Source organism: Homo sapiens, chromosome 1 (genome assembly GCF_000001405.40).
Source record: "Homo sapiens chromosome 1, GRCh38.p14 Primary Assembly".
NCBI lineage: Eukaryota > Metazoa > Chordata > Mammalia > Primates > Hominidae > Homo > Homo sapiens.
Genome location: NC_000001.11, coordinates 62,081,473 through 62,100,316, shown reverse-complemented (window position 1 = coordinate 62,100,316; position 18,844 = coordinate 62,081,473). Strand labels below are relative to the sequence as shown.

Here is an 18,844-nt window from a genome sequence, read left to right as displayed (position 1 = left end):
GTGAACCAAATACAATTCTTTTTTTAATAAATTACCCAGTCTCAGATATTCTGTTATAGCAGCAGAAAATGGAGTAAGACACCAAGCTTCTGATGGTAAAATAATAGTGACACACAACCAAAATACCCATCACAAATGGATTTTAAATCCATTGAAGTTTCCAGAGGATTTACTTTAGCTCAGAGAGCAATTTAAGAGAACCAAGTATTAAGGACTTAATTATCACTGAGCCCCACAAAAATCCCAAACTCCCCCAAGGGGATTTAAATTCTGAATTGTTGGAAAAGAATTTCACAACATGCAATAGTATATCCTTAGACAGAGTCAATGTCACCAGACACTTCAGCTCATCAATCACCATTTTTATTGTTCAAGCTGCCAACAGGTAGATAAAGTAACTCATAAACACACCAATCATTCAGCAAAAGGCAACCTTATTGTCACAATAGACTCATAACACTTAAAGAAGCCAGGTGTTAGAAAAATTAACTAAGGGTCTCCTGTGGGCTGAAGGATATCAATAAGTACCCTTTTGTGGGTGAACTATTTTAGTAGATGAGATTTTACATTTCTAGATATTTAGTAGATTGTTTTAACAAGCATTTTAGGACAAAACTTTGACAAATAATCATATGTAGATACTATTATAAAGAACTATGAATACACGGCTTAATTACACTGCTTGCAGGCATGTTTTACTTAATTTGATCACTACTCTGGAATTAAACTCAATCTTTGCCATACTCATAAAAGTCCCTACCTGCACTCCCTACACATACAAAAAAAATCCTAAGGGACATTTTAACTACAGAAAAGTTTCACATTAAATCTCACATTGAGGTGAAAAACATATTCACCAGTGATCCAGAAAGAGTGTTATGTCTTATTACCCTGCATTAGGGGAAAAGTCCCTCCTAACAAGAAAAACCCATGAGGACCAAAAAAAAAAAAAAAAAAAAAAAAAAAAAAGTTGGAGATATTGTATACAAAAAAATAGTCATATGTTTTCCTTTGAAAAAAACTATGGTTTGGATCTGTGGCCTTGGAGGAAGGATGTAGCTTTTAAACACCATTTAATAGTTTTTCCCCTCTATGGCTGTCCCTGTTCAGAAATCATAAAGACAGCCATGTCTTCTACACAGTAGATGACTTTCTCAGCAGGAAAGCCGTAAACCAACGAGGGCTGATAATATGGCGGAGGTGGCAAAATCCTCAATCTAGTGCTGTGTAAACCAAAACTACATCCAAATCTACACTGAAAAACACATGGTTATGCATTAAGTTACTGATTTGTGATGTCTACTACAGTTATAGAGTTTAAAAAGAAAGGGTTAGGTTAAAACTTTTAAAGTATATTTCACTTTGAGCAAAGCTGATAGACCCCAAACTGTATTTATATATAAAAAAGGATTCAGTTAACAGAGTAGAATTAAAAAAAATAAAAAAAATTTGAATGTTTTAGAACACGATTCTTTTCCATCCTAAAGCCTTTGTGACCAAATGCTTTAAAAATTTTAAAAAGCTTCCCTATTATATTCAACTAGAATGTGATTTTAAAAAAATGTGCAGTAGTCTGTGAAAGAAAAGACTCAGGACTGGGGGGTCAGAGGAATTAAATTTTCTGACAGCTCTGCAGGTAACCAACTGGATCAATTTGTTCATGACACTAATATTACCAGTAAAGCACAGAGTTGAATGAACTACATGACTTTTTTTTTTTTTGAGACACGGTCTCACTCCGTTATCCAGACTGGAGTGCAATGGCACAATCTTGGCTCACTGAAACCTCCACCTCCTGGGTTCAAGTGATTCTCATGTCTCAGCCTCCTGAGTAGCTGGGATTACAGGTGCACACCACCACACCCAGCTAATTTTTGTATTTTTAATAGAGATGGGGTTTCGCCATGTTGGCCAGGGTGGCCTCAAACTTCTTTTTTTTCTTTTTTCTTTTTTTTTTTGAGATGGAGTCTCCCTCTGTCACCCAGGCTGGAGTGCAGTCGTGCAATCTCGGCTCACTGCAAGCTCCACCTCCCAGGTTCACGCCATTCTCCTGCCTCAGCCTCCCGAGTAGCTGGAACTACAGGCACCCACCACCATGCCTGGCTAATTTTTTGTATTTTTAATAAAGATGGGGTTTCACCATGTTAGCCAGGATGGTCTCTATCTCCTGACCTCGTGATCCACCTGCCTCGGCCTCCTAAAGTGTTGGGATTACAGGTGTGAGCCACCACACCCAGCAAGCCTGGCCTCAAACTTCTGACCTCTAGTGATCTGCCCGCCTCCGCCTCTCAAAGTGCTGGGATTACAGGGGTGAGCCACTGCACCTTGCCTGAACTACATGACTTCTAAAGTCATTCCAGTTCTAAAATTCTAGGCCTCTATGAACCCAAATGTTGTGTAGAGTGAAGCAGATAAAGTCACTGTTTTATACAGATATTTAGGTCCTACCTAAGAATAAGACCTCCTTCTAAATGGTAGGTCAGAAGAATCCTAACTCGCATAGGTTGAACAAGATATAAAAGCTATGGAGGCTGGAGTCAGACTCTGTTTTAGTTACCTTTGGCCGCAAAACTTAGTGGCTTAAAACAACTATTTATTTGTTTACAATTCTATGGGTTTGCAATTTAGGCTGGGCTCAGCTGTGCAGTTCTTCTGCTTTACATTATGTTGCTTGGGTTCTGAAGTGAGCTTGCTGTCAGGTTAACCCAGGCTGGTTGTGTCCTGGATGGCTTTACTGTCATGTCTGGGGCCTCAGCTAGAATGGCTGGGCCTCTCTCCCTCCACGTGGTCTCTCCACATGCTGTTTCATCCTCCAGGAGGCCAGTCCAGACTTCTTCACAGGGTAGCAGTGTTTCAGGAGAGCAAGAGCTAAAATTGCAAGGCCTCTTGAGACCAAGGCTTAAAAGTCACACAATGCTACTTTTGTCACTATTGGTCAGATTGGATTCAAGGAATCTGGAAAGAGCTGCATAAAATTTATAGTCTTTTTTTTTTCCTTTTTTTAAAATTTGAGACAGCACATATAGCCAGTTTCAATGTACCACAGATTCTATCAAGGTTGCCAGAGGAATTTTCCAGCCTGCAAACAGTGGAAGGCAGCAATGTATGCTGGGAAGAGTACTGGCTATGGCCAGATAAACCTGTGTTCAGATTTTAGCTCTGCCACCTATCATAGATTTATGATACTTCCATTAAGTTATTTAACCTCTCTGAGCCAGTTTTTCTGCCTCTGCAAAATGGAACTAATAAATCCCCCCTTTTAGATTTTCAGGATGAGATGGGGTTATATGCCAAGTAAAGTGTCAGCTAAATCACAGGTATTGAGTAATTGCTCATGAGAGCTCCTAACATAGATACTAAGTTTGAAGGGGCATATCTAGTATATAAAACATCTATGTTGGGCCGGGCGCAGTGGCTCACGCCTGTAATCCCAGCACTTTGGGAGGCCGAGGCAGGTGGATCACCTGAGGTCAGGAGTTCAAGACTAGCCTGGCCAACCTGGTGAAACCTCGTCTGTACTAAAAATACAAAAAGTTAGCTGGGTGTGGTGGTGGGTGCCTGTAATCCCAGCTACTTGGGAGGCTGAGGCAGGAGAATCACTTGAACCCGGGAGGAGGAGGTTGCAGTGAGCTGAGATCGCGCCATTGCACTCCAGCCTGGGTGACAAAGTGATCAAAATTCATGACTCTAAGGATGAGTGACACCAGTCTTGTCCATTTTTTTCATTTCTAGTTTTCCTGTTATTATGGTGATCCCAAAATATAACTGAAATATAATCTTTCAAGAAAGATTATACTACAAGGATATTTTAGATTATTTTTCCCAAGTCACAGACTACTCAGGATTAAGCTCAAAGGACCATGTGAATGCCAACAAGCTCTAAGCCAGACTGCAGGAGTCTCATTCCCAGACATTTTGATTTTTCTTGGTCAAGTACAATCCTCACTGATCATGGATTCCATATCTGTGAATCCATCTACTCCCTAAAATTTATTTGTAACCCCCAAATCAATGCTCTCAGCACTTTTGCCATCATTCTCAAATGTACAGTGGTAGAAATTTGAGTCTTCTGATTTCCTTTTTCCCAGCTGGAGTTGAAAAAGGTGTTACTTTGCCTTCTTGTTTCAGTTCCCATACTTCTTGTTTCATGTTGTTTTGCTTGCCAGCTGCATAGTTGAACAGGTAAACAAGAACCCTTTTTGTGGTCTATTTAGTGTCTTTTTTTGTTTTAATTTTTGTGCTTTTTCTGTTTAAAATGGCACCCAAGCATAGTTCTGGGGTTCTGTCCAGTGTTCCTAAGTACAAGAAGACGAGGATGTGCTTCATTGAGAGAGTATGTGTGTAGATAAGCTGTGTTCAGGCATGAGTTTCAGTGCTGCTGGTCATGCATTCAATGTTAATGAACCAACACTATATATTAAACGAGGTGTCTTTAAGCAGAAACATACATAAAGCAATGTTGAAAATGTTGACTAGAAGCTTGGAAAAACCTGCCTCTGTATTTCCCCTAGCAGCAATGGTTCACTCTTCACTAATCAGTGTTTGCCTTGACTTTATAGAATACAACTCCTGTGAACAGTGAGAATCAGCTATAATTCCTACTGTTGCTTTTCCCGGGTGATACTTTACAAAAAAAAACTGGGAAGCACAATGTGAAAGGCAGAAATGCAGACAAATGCTTTCTCTAATAGAGTTGACAGGACTCATGTTGACAAAGGCAGTCCTTGCCACAATGAGGCAGGGGTTGATGAATCCAAGGATGAGAAACTTAAAAATGCATTTCCTCTATGCTGTGGCATGTATTTTTATGCTTATATGTCAATGCATTTTGTGGATCTATATTTTTTGAACCAATTACAAAGGTAAAATGCAGAGATGATTCAAGATGAGTTGGAAAGTTACTTATCTTCTCCACCTTTGGACCAAGAACTTTTCTCTTCTTTGATATAAAGAGTTATTTGGTATCACCTCATTGATTCATGAGAAGCAAAAGATTAAGCACTACTTAATTTCAGTATCTCACAAGAGCATGCAGGACCTGAGGCAGAATGTAGTCAATCGAAATTATACTTACTTTAAGATAATTTTTTTCTTATTTTAACAATTTTACAATTTGGATGAATCTAACACTCAAGTGTACATTCAATCTACTACTTTCCCACCATGGGTCACGATAAAAGATTATTGCCTTTGAAGATACACAGTGTTTGCCGAGCTGATGTTGTTTTGCCTGCCAGCTCCATAGGTTGAACAGATAATTGTTTCTGTTCAGAAAACCTGAGGGACTGTAGCTGTAGAAGGGAAGTCAGCAAGGGTCAAAGGAACTTACTGATCATACTTGAAATCATAGTTTTAAAAAATCTGGATACTCTATTTGGTTCACAAATAATAAATTAGTTTACTGCACAGATTTTCCCCAAAATCTCACAACACAGTCAGACTTCAGTTGACCCTTACAAAACTCTGCTATAAAATAAACACAGAGCTAGTCTATATATCCTAATATTCATTTACAAAATCCCTCAAGAAGGAAGAAAATGGATCATAATGTTCAGTACCTACTGTTTTGAAATATTTGAAACATTCTCAGCTAATAAACTATAGATAACGTAAGTGGGCATTATAACAGCAATAAATAATGGTGGCTCTTTTGACATAAAAAAGATTAAATACTCACTTACACTAGAAGAAATAACACTAACATCTCTGTGTGTGTGTGTGTGTGTGTGTGTGTGTGTGTGTGTGTGTGTGTGTGTGTTGAGACAGAATCTAGGTTAGGTTCAGTGGTTCATGCCTATAATCCCAGCACTTTGGGAGACTGAGGCAGGAGGATTGCTTGAGCCCAGGAGTTTGAGACCAGCCTGAGCAACAGAGTAAGACCCTATCTATATCATTATTTTAAAATATAAAAATAAAAAAAAGAGAAACAGAGTCTTACTTTGTCACCCACGCTGGAGTGCAGTGGCGGCACCACAGCTCACTGTAGCTTTGAGGTCCCAGACTTAGACAATCCTCTTGCTTAGCCTCTCAAGTAGCTGGGACCACAGGGCACACACCACCACACCTGGATAATTTTTAATTTTTTGTAGAGACAGGGTCTTACTATGTTGCCGGAACTGGTCTTGAACTCTGGGCCTCAACTGATCATCCTGTCTTGGCCTCCCAAAGTGCTGGGATTACAGGCATAAGCCACTGTGCCTGGCTGTGTGTGTTTTTTAATGCAATGGACTATGCAAGCAATCCTAAAACCCAAACTCAGGGATTGCAAACTATTACATATATTTACAGGTAACTAATATGTGAAATAAAATCACAGCAATACATGGCTAACATAAGAACTGCTGTAAATATATTAAAAGGTTTTGCATTTCAAGACTGAGCAAGTTTTCTCTTCTTAAGCTCAAAAAAGAAATGGCTTTATATTTATTTAAAATGGAATTCCGTTACCCAAGTCTTCATTTAACAAAAAGTTGATACTTATCAATATGAATATAATTTTTCATACAGAAATATAGACTTATTTTAAGGAAATGGTATATGATTTGCATTATATTTTATAAATCCCCACAGTTCCATTTGGTTATTATTTATTAAATTTGACTTAGCTTACATAATATTTTTGCTTATATTCATATTCTTTAAGACCAGAAATGTCCAAATCTGGAATTCAAAGGTACTATTCATTAACATTCTTTCACTGTGATTCATAGACTTTTTGCAAACTCTGCTTTGATTTTAAAATAAAACTAAGGTAATAAGATGTTTTGTATAAAAATATATGACTTAAGCAATAACAATAAAAGGAGCTTGGCTTTGGTGGATCACATGCCAAAGCAAACCACACTCCTCATGAAATAGACCGTACAAAGTTCACGTCAGGGGGAATAACAAAATAAAACACTTAATCAAATATAAAATAGCTTTCTATTCTGCTTATTTAAAAAATATCCAGTGGTTTAAACTGCTGTAGTCCTACGTTTAAATTATCAAAAGCAGTACCAGAATGCAACATGATGAGGGGTTAAGTGAGGTCACTTCAGAACAACATATGGTTATAGCTAAAGAACAGGTATTCTTTATTTCAATTTCTAGATAGATGAATTTTGCCACATAGTACCCAAATGGGAGAGTATGTCTACCATGATATTTCTTGCTAACGTAGCTGCCCTATAGAACTTCTGTTTAATAAGAATGAATTAAATTGGTATTAAATCAGGTGATTGAAAAAAATGTGGATTTGAAACTTGGAGAGAAATGACAAGATTCTAACTCTCGGCTGGGCACAGTGGCTCATGCTTGTAATCCCAGCACTTTGGGAGGCTGAGGCGGGCGGATTGCCTGAGCTCAGGAGTTTGAGACTAGCCTGGGTAACATGGTGAAACTCCATCTCTACTAAAAATACAACAAATTAGCTGGGTGTGGTCGCGCGTGCCTGTAGTCCCAGCTACTCAGGAAGCTGAGGCAGGAGAATCTCTTGAATTTGGGAGGCGGAGGCCGTAGTGAGCCAAGATCGTACCACTGTACTCCTGCCTGGGTGACAGAGCGAGACTTGGCTCAAAAAATAAAAAAATAAATAAATAAATAAATAAAAGTCGTTTTCTTGCCAGGTGCAGTGGCTCACACCTGTAATCCCTGTACTTTGGGAAGCTGAGCCAGGTGGATCACCTGAGGTCAGGAGTTCAAGACCAGCCTGGCCAACATGGCGAAACCCCATCTCTACTAAAAATACAAAAATTAGCTGGGTGTGGTGGTGGGTGCCTGCAATCCCAGCTACATGGGAGGCTGAGGCAGGAGAACTCCAGCCTGGACGACAAGAGTGAGACTCCGTCTAAAAAAAAAAAAAAAATTCCAACTCTGACATTCGCAGGACTTTTTATCATTAAGAATATCTAAATCTAAAAAGAGAATAGTGCTTGAATCACATTTTTTTTTTTTAACAGGCAAGGTCTTGCTCTGTTGCTCAGGCCGGAATGTAGTGGTGCAATAAAAGTTTACTGCAGCCTTGACCTCCCAGGGTCAAGCCATCTTCCTGCCTCAGCCTGCCAGGTAGTTGGGACTACAGGCACATGCCACCATGCTCAGCTAATTAAAAAAAATTTTTTTTGAGACAGGGGTCTTGCCATGTTGCCCAGGTTAGTCTCAAACTCCTGGCCTCAAGCAACCCTCCCATCTCAGCCTCCTAAAAGTCTGGGATTACAGGTGTGAGCCACTGCACCTGGCCTTGAATCACTTAATTTAATTTTCTTTCCTTTTTTTTTTTTTTTTGAGACAGGGTCTCTGTTGCCCAGCCTGGAGTGCAGCGGTGCGATCTCGGCTCACTGCAACCTCCGCCTCCCGTGTTCAAGTGATTCTCCTGCCTCAGCCTCCCAAGTAGCTGGGACTATAGCCACGTGCCACCATGCTCAGCTAATTTTTGTATTTTTAGTAGAGACAGGGTTTTGCCATGTTGGCCAGGCTGGTTTAAAACTCCTGACCTCTGGTGATCCGCCCACCTCGGCCTCCCAAAGTGCTGGGATTACAGGCATGAGCCACCCTGTCCAGCCTATTTTATTTTTTTTTAAAATAAGAGATGGGGTCTCACTATGTTGCCGAGGCTGGTCTCAAACTCCTAGGCTCAAGTGATCCACGTGCCTCAGCCTCCCAAAGAGCTGGGATTACAGGTGTGAGCCACCTTGCCCAGCCAAATCACTTTTTTAAAGTTTGATGTTGAAAAACAAATATGCAATTGTCTAGGAACAAAGCCACATTTCACTGTCCAGGTAATATACCAAAGACACACAGACAAAGTTAAGGATCTACTTTAATACAAATGTTTATAATTAATAATAACTGAACTCAGTTTAAATAGGCACTGGGTAAAGTTCTTCATATTCATTATCTTAATTAATTCACATGACAATCTTAAGAGGTAGATTTTTGTTATCACCACAGTGGCACAAATGAAGAAGCAGATTTAACTTAGAAAGGCTGTCATTTGTCCAGAGTCCCACAGTTAAATATCTAAAATTCTAATGCCAAAGAACCAGCATCATTACTCTGCTATGGTGCCTTTTAGGTTTGGTAGAACACATTGTCTATAGCCTGGGATCTCTGGCAATGGTATCAGGGAAGGAAAATGCATAGAAAGAGGGTCCTAGAGACCTCATTCTCATTCATATCCTGGGATTCACAGCCTGGGATCTCATTCATAGCCTGGGATCTCTGGCAATGGATCTCAGGGAAGGAAAATGCATAGAAAGAGGGTCCTAGAGACTGCATTCTCATTCTTTCTCCACTTCATTTGTTCAATTCCAAAAACAGTTCAAGTCTGCCAATAATCCAAGATAAAGGATTTAGTTCTGAAGTTTTTCTTCTCTATAATTCCCAAGCCTGATAATAACCCCAGTGAGTGAGTCTGGAGAGCTATCTTTTACTTCTTCTGAGGGTATTGCTGATAAAACTTCTAATCAACGAGTATACATCTCTGAGAAGTGGACATTGAAGGACATCAGGGAGGAGTTTAAGGAATACGATGCAAACATCAGAAAAGGTAAGAGGCCTTGGTCTTTCATTTGACAGAGTAGGATGAGTTCTCTAAGCTGTAGGATTTCATGCAAATTCAACACTCCAACAAGACCAGAGGGGTGGAGGGAGATAGAAGACAGGAAGAAAGGATGGACTGATGGATAGAAGGAAATAAAAATTATGAATTAATATACTACCTCTGATATCCAATATGCCTTATCTGGCTTCCCGGCTAATAAGAAACATAACAATAGCTTATATTAATTAAATCTAGAAAGTGGATGCCATGGCTCTACTCTTTTCTGGCTTCCAGAGGAAGCCCCTATTTTAATAGTCATTATTATGACTTTTCATTGGTTTACCTCCTATATTAGACCATAATCACTAAAAGTCAATAGAATTAACTTGAACGACTGTGTGAGCTCTTCTAGGACAAGGTTATCTCACTCAATCTTGTATCCTTAGCACTAAGCAAAGGGCAGCCTTTGAGCAAACATATGCAACCTATCACAGAAGAGCCGCATCCACCAAAGGCAAGCCTGGGAGCAACATCACAAGATTAAAACAACAGGCAGAAGTCTGTCATTGAGGATTGGGTCCAGGTGTGCTTGTAAACCTTCCCAAGAGGTTCACCCTCATCATTACCTCGGCATTTTAAAAGGTCGATTTAAATACAATGGGATGCTAAGTGAGATCTCCCTCTGTGATCTCAGAAACCGTCTGTCTTGGCTCCAGAGAAACTATTTATAGCAGAGAGGACTGATGTGGTGTCAAGACCAGGTTCCAGAGACTTAACTCCTCTAAAGACAGCAAAAATATCTTTTGGACACACAACAAAGAAGACACAGAAATCTTAATTGGGAGGTTTGGAGCAGATGTTAAGAAGGGTCACCAGAAGTCAGGACATACTCTTTCCCCATGCCAGAGCTGGAGTCAGGATGCATCACTTAACCAAATGTGCGAAGGTTCTTCTGTAGTGAGTCTCAATGTTTTCCACCATTTCGCTTTGATATGCTCTCATCTTTGTTTGCTAACTTTCTGCTAGCTGGATGCCATCCCAAGACCTGACTGGAAAATGTGACCTATGGTATCAGTTAGGTTGCACATTCCATGTCAAAATTTGGAAGGGGAAAAAAAAAAAGAAAAATGAAAGATTTGCATTGTGGTAAATAATAGCTTTATTTGTTAAAGTGCTTTCCAACCCTCACTGTTCAGCCTCACTGAAATGACAGACAGGCCTATATATTTCTCCTGAGTCTAACTTATGGCTTTTGATGAGGTACCTGAGGTTAGGAAATAAAAGCTGTGTCCCATCCCTCATTTTAAAGTCATGCTTATCCTTCCAAGGACAATGGGATTTACAGTCTGAAAAGGCAGAACTATATATTACGAACCTCAAGAAGCTCTTGATTTTTTTTTTTTTTTAGCTGCCTCACAGTGGCAGGGAAAGGAGAGTACAGTATTTAGCAAACAGCCTCACATTCCTTGCAGGAAGTGATGGAATTCAATGGAAACCCTCAAGCTATCAGCCACCAGCACAAATGAATGCAATATTGAAGACCCAAGAGCAGCACAGAAGACACATCTCGTTCAGGTATTCCAACCAACCCAGGTAAAACAAAGTCAGATTAACAGCGGCAAAAGCAAAACCACAACTCATTCAGCTAGGCTGGACGTGCTGATGAAATTCTTCCGATTTCCTATGGGAAATCTATTCCCATATAAAAAGCAATGTAAAAAGACTTTTATTTACAAAAGTAATCAAAGGTTAATTTTCTGTTATGAAGGAATTCACTACAGAATTTAAACTGTAACTTCCCAGGATTATTGTTTTTAATATTCATGAACACCTCCTCGGGAAAGTGTGGAAACACGCCTTGGAAGCAGCCATCACCCAATGTTCAGGGTCAACCAGTAGTTTCTGAATATATATATATATATATGTTCTATATATTCTATATATATATGTTCTATATATTCTATATATATGTTCTATATATTCTATATATATATATTCTACTGTTTATAAGATATCTGATCCTCACCATAACTCAACAAGTCAGGAATATTAAGGTCATTTTGCATATGTGAAAACAGAGAGTTGGAGAAGGTATGTGCCATGGGCAGTGGCTTACTGTGTGCTAAACATCCTATGAAGGTCATCTCTTTGATCATCCTAGTAAGTCTACAAGGTATTATTATCTCTGTAAATAGAGCAGGAAATAGACTGAGAGGTTAAGAAGTCTGCCCCAGCTAGTAAATGGTAGAGAGGGAATATGACTGAGAGCTAAAAGAGAGGAATGGTCAGCATCACCTCTGAGTTTGGCTGAAGACCAATCACAAAACCCAGGGAAGACTTCTTTGGGAAGAGTGGCTTAGAGGAGGTAGAGAAGCTTGATGGGAGCGGAAGGAGGGCAGAAGAGAGCAAATTCAGGGGAGCAGGGCAAAGTCCGAGATGCTGGAGTGCATATGTAGGTTTGGGGAACGATGGTCTGGTCTGGTCCTATGTTGGTGGTATGTGAGACTTTCTACATAAAGTGGGAGCTAGCTGGGTGGCTGGCGCTAGTCAAAGTGTTTCTGTGAACTGCTGAGAGACCAGATGACATAAAATTACAAAGAATTGGCTGGGCGTGGTGGCTTATGCCTGTAATCCCAGCACTTTGGGAGGCTGAGGCAGGCGGATCACCTGAGGTCGGGAGTTCAAGACCAGCCTGACCAACATGGAGAAACCCCGTCTCTACTAAAAATACAAAATTAGCCAGTCATGGTGGTGCATGCCTGTAATCCCAGCTACTCAGGAGGCTGAGGCAGGAGAATCGCTTGAACCCGGGAGGCGGAGGTTGCGGTGAGCCGAGATTGCACCATTTCACTTCAGCCTGGGCAAGGAGAGCGAAACTCCGTCTCAAAAAAAAAAAAAAATTACAAAGAATTATTAAAAATACGATTAGAAGATACAGCGCAGACCAAATTCCTGTATGTATGAAGCCACACAGCAGTTCCTGCTTGCAAAGGCAAGAGGAGAATTCAGGACATAAATTTTCATGAACTCCAGAGAAAAATGTTAACAGTACTTTTATCAAGCAGAAGGAGATAAAATCCTTTCAGGTTCAGGTGAGGTGGTTCACTAGCAGGGTGGGGCTCAAAGCCAGGATTTTCTAGACGGGGCCCAATGGTAGGAAAGGGAAGGACCATGACCAGCAAACATGTAAAAGGCATTAATGATAGGGACAGGAGGCAGAGAAATTCTAGGCAGACATGGGCAGATCCCCAGCAAAACCCCACCTTTGAGCCGAGAAGCCTGAAACCCTTGGTCCAAAGTGATAACTTCTATCCCTGTTTGCCTGCTGTCTCCTGATTGGTTCTTTCTGAATAATGTCTTTTTACCAATCGAATGTTGCTTTTCCCAAAACTACCTACGGCCCGCCCCGCCCCCCATCCTATGCCTACAAAGATCTCAGACTCAGTTGGTAGAGGAGAGAAGCAGCTTGACTGAGGAGAAGCAACTTGACTTTAGAGGGATGGCTGGACTTTGGAGGAGAGACAGCTTAACTTTAGAGAAGAGCCAGCTGGACTTCAGGGAAGACTCTCTGCCTGTGCTGTCCCCTCTCCAGCTCCCCTCTCCACTGACAGCCACTTCCGTTGCTAAATAAAATTCTTCTTCTCCACCATCCTTCAAGTGTCTGTGCAACCTAATTCTTCTCGGACGCCGGACAGGAGCTTGGGACTCACCGAGTGCGGGTACCCAAAAAAGGCTGTCACACTGGCCCTTTGCCCTCCCTGGTGGGGAGCAGCTGCCCCATGCAACAAGGCAAGGGGCCCACTGAGCTGATAACGTACCGCTGTCCACGGACGACGGAGGTTAGCATTGTAACACACTCTCTGGGGCTTCAGGGGTCGCAGGCACCCCTACCTGGTCTGGCCGAGGGGACCCCACAGAGCCTGCTCCTGCCGGCACCCAAAGCAGCCAGCTGGGTCCTGCACTCGCTCTCTCATGAACTCCATCCTACAACAGGCTGAGCGAGGCGCTCCAAGTAAACAGTACCCCTGTTGCAAGTCTGATGAAGGGGTCAAGAGAAAACTCCTGCATCATCAAGACCCTGGTTTCTATCGCCTATGCTGTTCTTGAGTTTCCTAGTGCTTTAGGGAACTAATATTTATTACACAAAAGTAGATTAGGATCTCCCCACCCCCAACAGTACTACCACAAAAATGTTACATTACTGCCCAATGTGGAAAAAAATAGTTTTATAGACCCTGATATGTTTGTTTTATCTGGCATGTACAATTTATTGCTTACTAAATAAAATGGGCAAAAGAAATACCAAAATATTCATTTAAAACATATTCATTAACAAGAGTGATTGTCTCTAGGGAGTCGCCCTGGTTTTAGGTAGTGAAGGGCAGAGCTAGGGCAAAAAGGTAGGAGGGAGATTTATTTTTCACTTTTTTCCTTTTATGGCAACTTAACTTTGTATAAGATGCAGGTATTACATACACACACACACAATTTTCCTTTTGTATCAATTTAACTTTGTATAATATGCAGGTATTAAACACACACACACACATACACACACACACACATGCATTAATTAATCACATCTTGAGTAAATCAAAACCCAGGAAAAGTTTTCATTTTAATGGCGCTACTGAGCAGTGATAAACAAAAGGTATTGAATAATGAAAAATCAATCATCCTGGCCAGGCACAGTGGCTCATGCCTGTAATTGCAGCATTTTGGGAGGCTAAGGTAGGAGGATCGCTTGAGCCTAGGAGTTCAAAACCAGCTTGGGCAACATAGCAAGACCCCATCTCTATTTATTTAAAAAAATAAAAAACAATAAAAAGTCAATCATCCCAGGAAACACTAATATTCTACACCGACTTCTAAAAAAAATTATGAGTAGATATGAAAATGGTCAGTGTAAAATGAACCCTAAATTGTTAGGCCGGAATAATTCATGCATACCTTTTTTTTTTTTTTTTTTTAAACAGAGACAGGGCCTTGCTCTGTTGCTCAGGCTGGAGTATAGTGGCATGATCATAGCTCACTGCAGCCTCAAACACCTGGGCTCAAGTGATCCTCCTTCCTCAGCCTCTTGAGTAGCTGGGAATACAGGTGTGTGCCACCATGCCTTGCTAATTTAAAAAAAATTTTCTTTGTAGAGATGAGGTCTTGCTATGTTGCCCAGGCTGTCTCAAACTCCTGGCCTCAAGCTATCCACCTGCCTCGGTTACCATGCTGGCCTGATGTATACTTTTTATCTACAATTCCATTAAATAATGATGATGAGAATAACAACAGTTCCTACTTACTGAACACTTACTATGTGTGAGGCATCCTCTTAAATACTTCTAAATGCTGCTGTGATACTGTTGGTCTAATAAGTATTTATAAAAATATTCAACATCCTAGATGGAGAAAATCCTGATGAAAGTTTTTTGTTTGTTTTTTTTTTAAGACAAGGTCTTGCTCTCTGTCACCCAGGCTGGCGTGCAGTGGCATGATCACGGTTCACTACAGCCTCGACCTCCTGGGCTCAAGTGAATCTCCCACCTCAGCCTCCTAAGGAGTGGGGCTAGAGTGCAGTAGCACGATCTCAGCTCATTGCAGCCTCTACCTCCTGGGTTCAAGTGATTCTCCTGCCTCAGACTCCTGAGTGGCTGGGACTATAGGTGTGCACCACCATGCCCAGCTAATTTTTGTATTTTTAGTAGAGATAGGGTTTCACCATGTTGGCCAGGCTGGTCTTGATCTCCTCACCTCAAGTAATCTGCCTGCCTCAGCCTCCCAAAGTGCTGGGATTACAGGCGTGAGCCACTGTGCTCAGCCCACCCAGACAATTTTTGTACTTTTTGTAGAGATGGGGTTTCGCCACGTTGCCCAGGCTGGTCTTGAACTCCTGGGCTTAAGCGATCTGCTTGCCTTGGCCTCCCAAAGTGCTGGGATTATAAGTGTGAGCCACCGCGCCCAGCACTGTTGAAAATTAAACACTGAGAAAAACTTGAAAACTAGCTAGACTATGGATGCACATCTATTTATAATCACATTTTCTCCTCATACTATGAAAAAGGCAAGTCTTGCAGAGTTGTGGCGCAGGGCCAAAATTAACCTCAACAACTAGTTCTATGACAGTGGATACATTTTATTTCTAGAAACTTACCAAGGGTGTGTCTTTTCCTCCCACAATGCTGAGACCAAGCCCTGAACGTCCCTTGGATATTTCTATAATCATTTCCTGTCCAGGGACAATGGGACACGTTGCGGGGTCCACTGACAGAGGAGCCTGGAAACCACCTGGAAAAGAATTGAACACAGCATGACTGGCATGTAAGAGCTGCAGCTCAGCCTGCACGTTCCATCACGTGGGGAGTGTGGGGCTTGCATGTGTTTATCACTGCACTCTTTTCCTGCCAAACACCATGAAGCAAAAAGCTGGGTCATTCCTGCCTCTTCAGCCAGGGATGACACTGCTGAGATTAAAACGATAACTCCCACCCCTCAACCCATCAATTTTACTTGAAAGTTTTAAATCTTATTTTATTTATTTATATTTTTGAGACAGAGTCTTACTCTGTCGCCCAGGCTGGAATGCAATGGTACGATCTCAGCTCACTGCAACCTCCACCTCCTGGGTTCAAGCAATTCTCCTGCCTCAGCTTCCCAAGTAGCTGGGATTACAGGCACCCACCACCATGCCTGGCTAATTTTTTTATTTTTAGTAGAGACGAGGTTTTGCCATGCTGGCCAGGCTGGTCTCGGACTCCTGGCCTCAGGTGATCCGCCCGCCTTGGCCTCCCAAAGTGCTAGGACTATAGGTGTGAGCCACTGCACCTGGCTAAAAGTTTTAAAATCTTAAAATACATCATGAAAATCTGTATGGAAAAATTACAATGATTAAATGATTAGGTATATGAAGGCCTATGTTACAATGAGAATAAAGGCTGGTATAACAGGAGATTCTGAGCTATAGGATACTAATTAAGAAACAATGCCTAAATACTTTCAATTAGAGCATATCAGATGAATTAAATTATTAAGATGTATAAAGAATTTAATCAATAAAGTATGAAATACCTGAAAATAACAATTACCTAAAATTTATCCCCAAATATATTACATATATAGTAAAGCAAAATATATTATAAACACAAGACTCAAAAATTACTTGCGGGGTTCATAGAGGAAAAGTTTATTTAAAAGTTATTGCTTTTTTACAAAGGTTTATTTTTAAAAACAATTGTTTTAGGTTGGGTTTTTCCAAAGAGTGAGGGAAAAAATGTTTATAGGCTAAGAAAAAATGTTTACTAACACCTGTTTATCCAGCATAAAATCTACACACATGCATTTTCCAGATAACCTATTAAAAACTCAAAACATTCAGCCGGGCACGGTGGTTCACGCCTGTAATCCCAGCACTTTGTGAGGCTGATCACCTGAGGTGGGAGGATCACCTGAGGTCAGGAGTTCGAGACCAGCCTGGTCAACATAGTGAAACCTCGTCTCTACTAAAAATATAAAAAATAGCTGGGCGTGGTTCATGCCTGTAATCCCAGCTACTCAGGAGACTAAGGCAGGAGAATCGCTTGAGCCCGAGGCAGAGGTTGCAGTGAGCTGAGATCGCGCCATTGCACTCTAGCCTGGCCAAGAAGAGTGAAACTCCGTCTCAAAATGGCAACAACAACAACGAAACCTCAAAACATTCAAAATGTTGAATAGTTTCAAGAGATGCTCATATAAAATGTTGAATAGCTTCAAGAGATGCTCATACAAATCATAGTCTCCAGAGAATGTCATATTTTCTGATAACTGAGTTTGATCACCATGAGTATTGTTTCTTACATTATGATATAATTCAGGAAAGGGCTGATGAGAGAGGGCTCCATCTGCTGGTCAGCTGCAGCTAATGCACAGAGCTGAGATGAGATCCCAGTGCTCATTAAACCTATGTAAAAGCAGGGGTCAGCGGACTATAGCTCGCGGATCAAGAATGGCTTTTCACTTTCAAAAGCTTGAAAAAAAATCAAAAGAAAAATAATGTCTCAAAGCATGTGAAAATGATATGAGTCTAAATCTCAGTGTCTATAAATAAAGTCGTATTGGAACACAAACCCACTAATTCATTTATGCCTAGCCTATGGCTGCTAGCATACTACAATGGCAGGGGTGAGTAACTGCAATAGCGGTTGTGTGGCCCATAAGCCTAAAATATTTACAATCTACTTCTTTATAGAAAAAGCTTGTCAATCTCTGGTATAAAACAAAAAGAAACAGGCTCTAGGTAAGCCTGTGGGGGTTCTGCTCTAACTAAGTGATAATCATGGTCTTTGAGATGAAAAGGCACAGGTTTTGGAGTGGCACAGAGCCACAGTTGAGTTCCTAAGCAGGAATTTAACAGGAGGGTGAAAGTGGAGCTCACTTCTCATCAGAAAAATGCATGTAACCACTATTAAAGAGGCTGTTAGAGAAACTAAATGAACAGTGTGTGTGAGGTGCCCGGCCCAGAGTCTGGCACATTGTGGGTATTCACATATCTTGTTCCCATCCATATGGAATTTATTAATCTAAAGGCCTCCTGGTTAACAGCAAGAAATTCAGTGATACAACCATAAAAAGTGCCATATTTAGAAGTAGCCTATGGCCAGCCTATGGTGGCTAGCACACTACAATGGCAGGGGTGAGAAACTACAACAGAGGCTGTGTGGACCACAGCCTAAAATATTTACTATCGACTTCTTTATAGAAAAATCTTGCCAATAAGACAAAAAGAAAGGCTCTAGGTAAGATACAGGCAAGGCAGAATATTAAATTGTAAACCAAATTTGTCTTTAAATCTTTTTGCAGCATATGTATTTTATACCACATTTCCCATTAATTTACAATAAAAATGACGTACGATAGTGGCACACTTTCATGGGTGCTTTAAAAAGTTTCTATTGCTTTTAGGTCGGGTGCGGTGGCTCACGCCTGTAACCTCAGCACTTTGGGAGGCTGAGGTGGGCGGATCACCTGAGTTCAGGAGTTTGATACCAGCCTGACCAACATGGTGAAACCCTGTCTCTACTAAAAATACAAAATTAGCCAGGCATGGTGGCACATGCCTGTAATCCCAACTACTAGGAAGGCTAAGGCAGGAGAATCACTTGAACCCAGGAGGCAGAGGTTGCAGTGAGCCGAGATCACACCATTGCACTCCAGCCTGGGCAACAAGAGCAAAACTCCATCTCAAATAAATAAATAGATAAGTAAATAAAAAGTTTATACTGCCTTTGTAAATGACTAGCGTAGTCTCCTGAGTGAGAAGAGAGAAAAAAACCTGGTGAGACATCCTGGAGATGG

General features: G+C 41.0%; 1 protein-coding gene across 19 annotated transcripts in view; it reads right to left on the bottom strand.

The window, feature by feature from the left end:
* The window catches only part of PATJ (PATJ crumbs cell polarity complex component), a 421,436-nt gene that overhangs the window by 63,599 nt on the left and 338,993 nt on the right, over window positions 1–18,844 (bottom strand). For all 19 annotated transcript variants that reach the window (XM_011540462.4, XM_011540467.4, XM_011540464.4 and 16 more), the window contains one exon: window positions 15,669–15,802. In XM_011540462.4, the coding sequence (XP_011538764.1) occupies window positions 15,669–15,802 (134 nt within the window). The remainder of the gene's footprint in view (window positions 1–15,668; window positions 15,803–18,844) is intronic.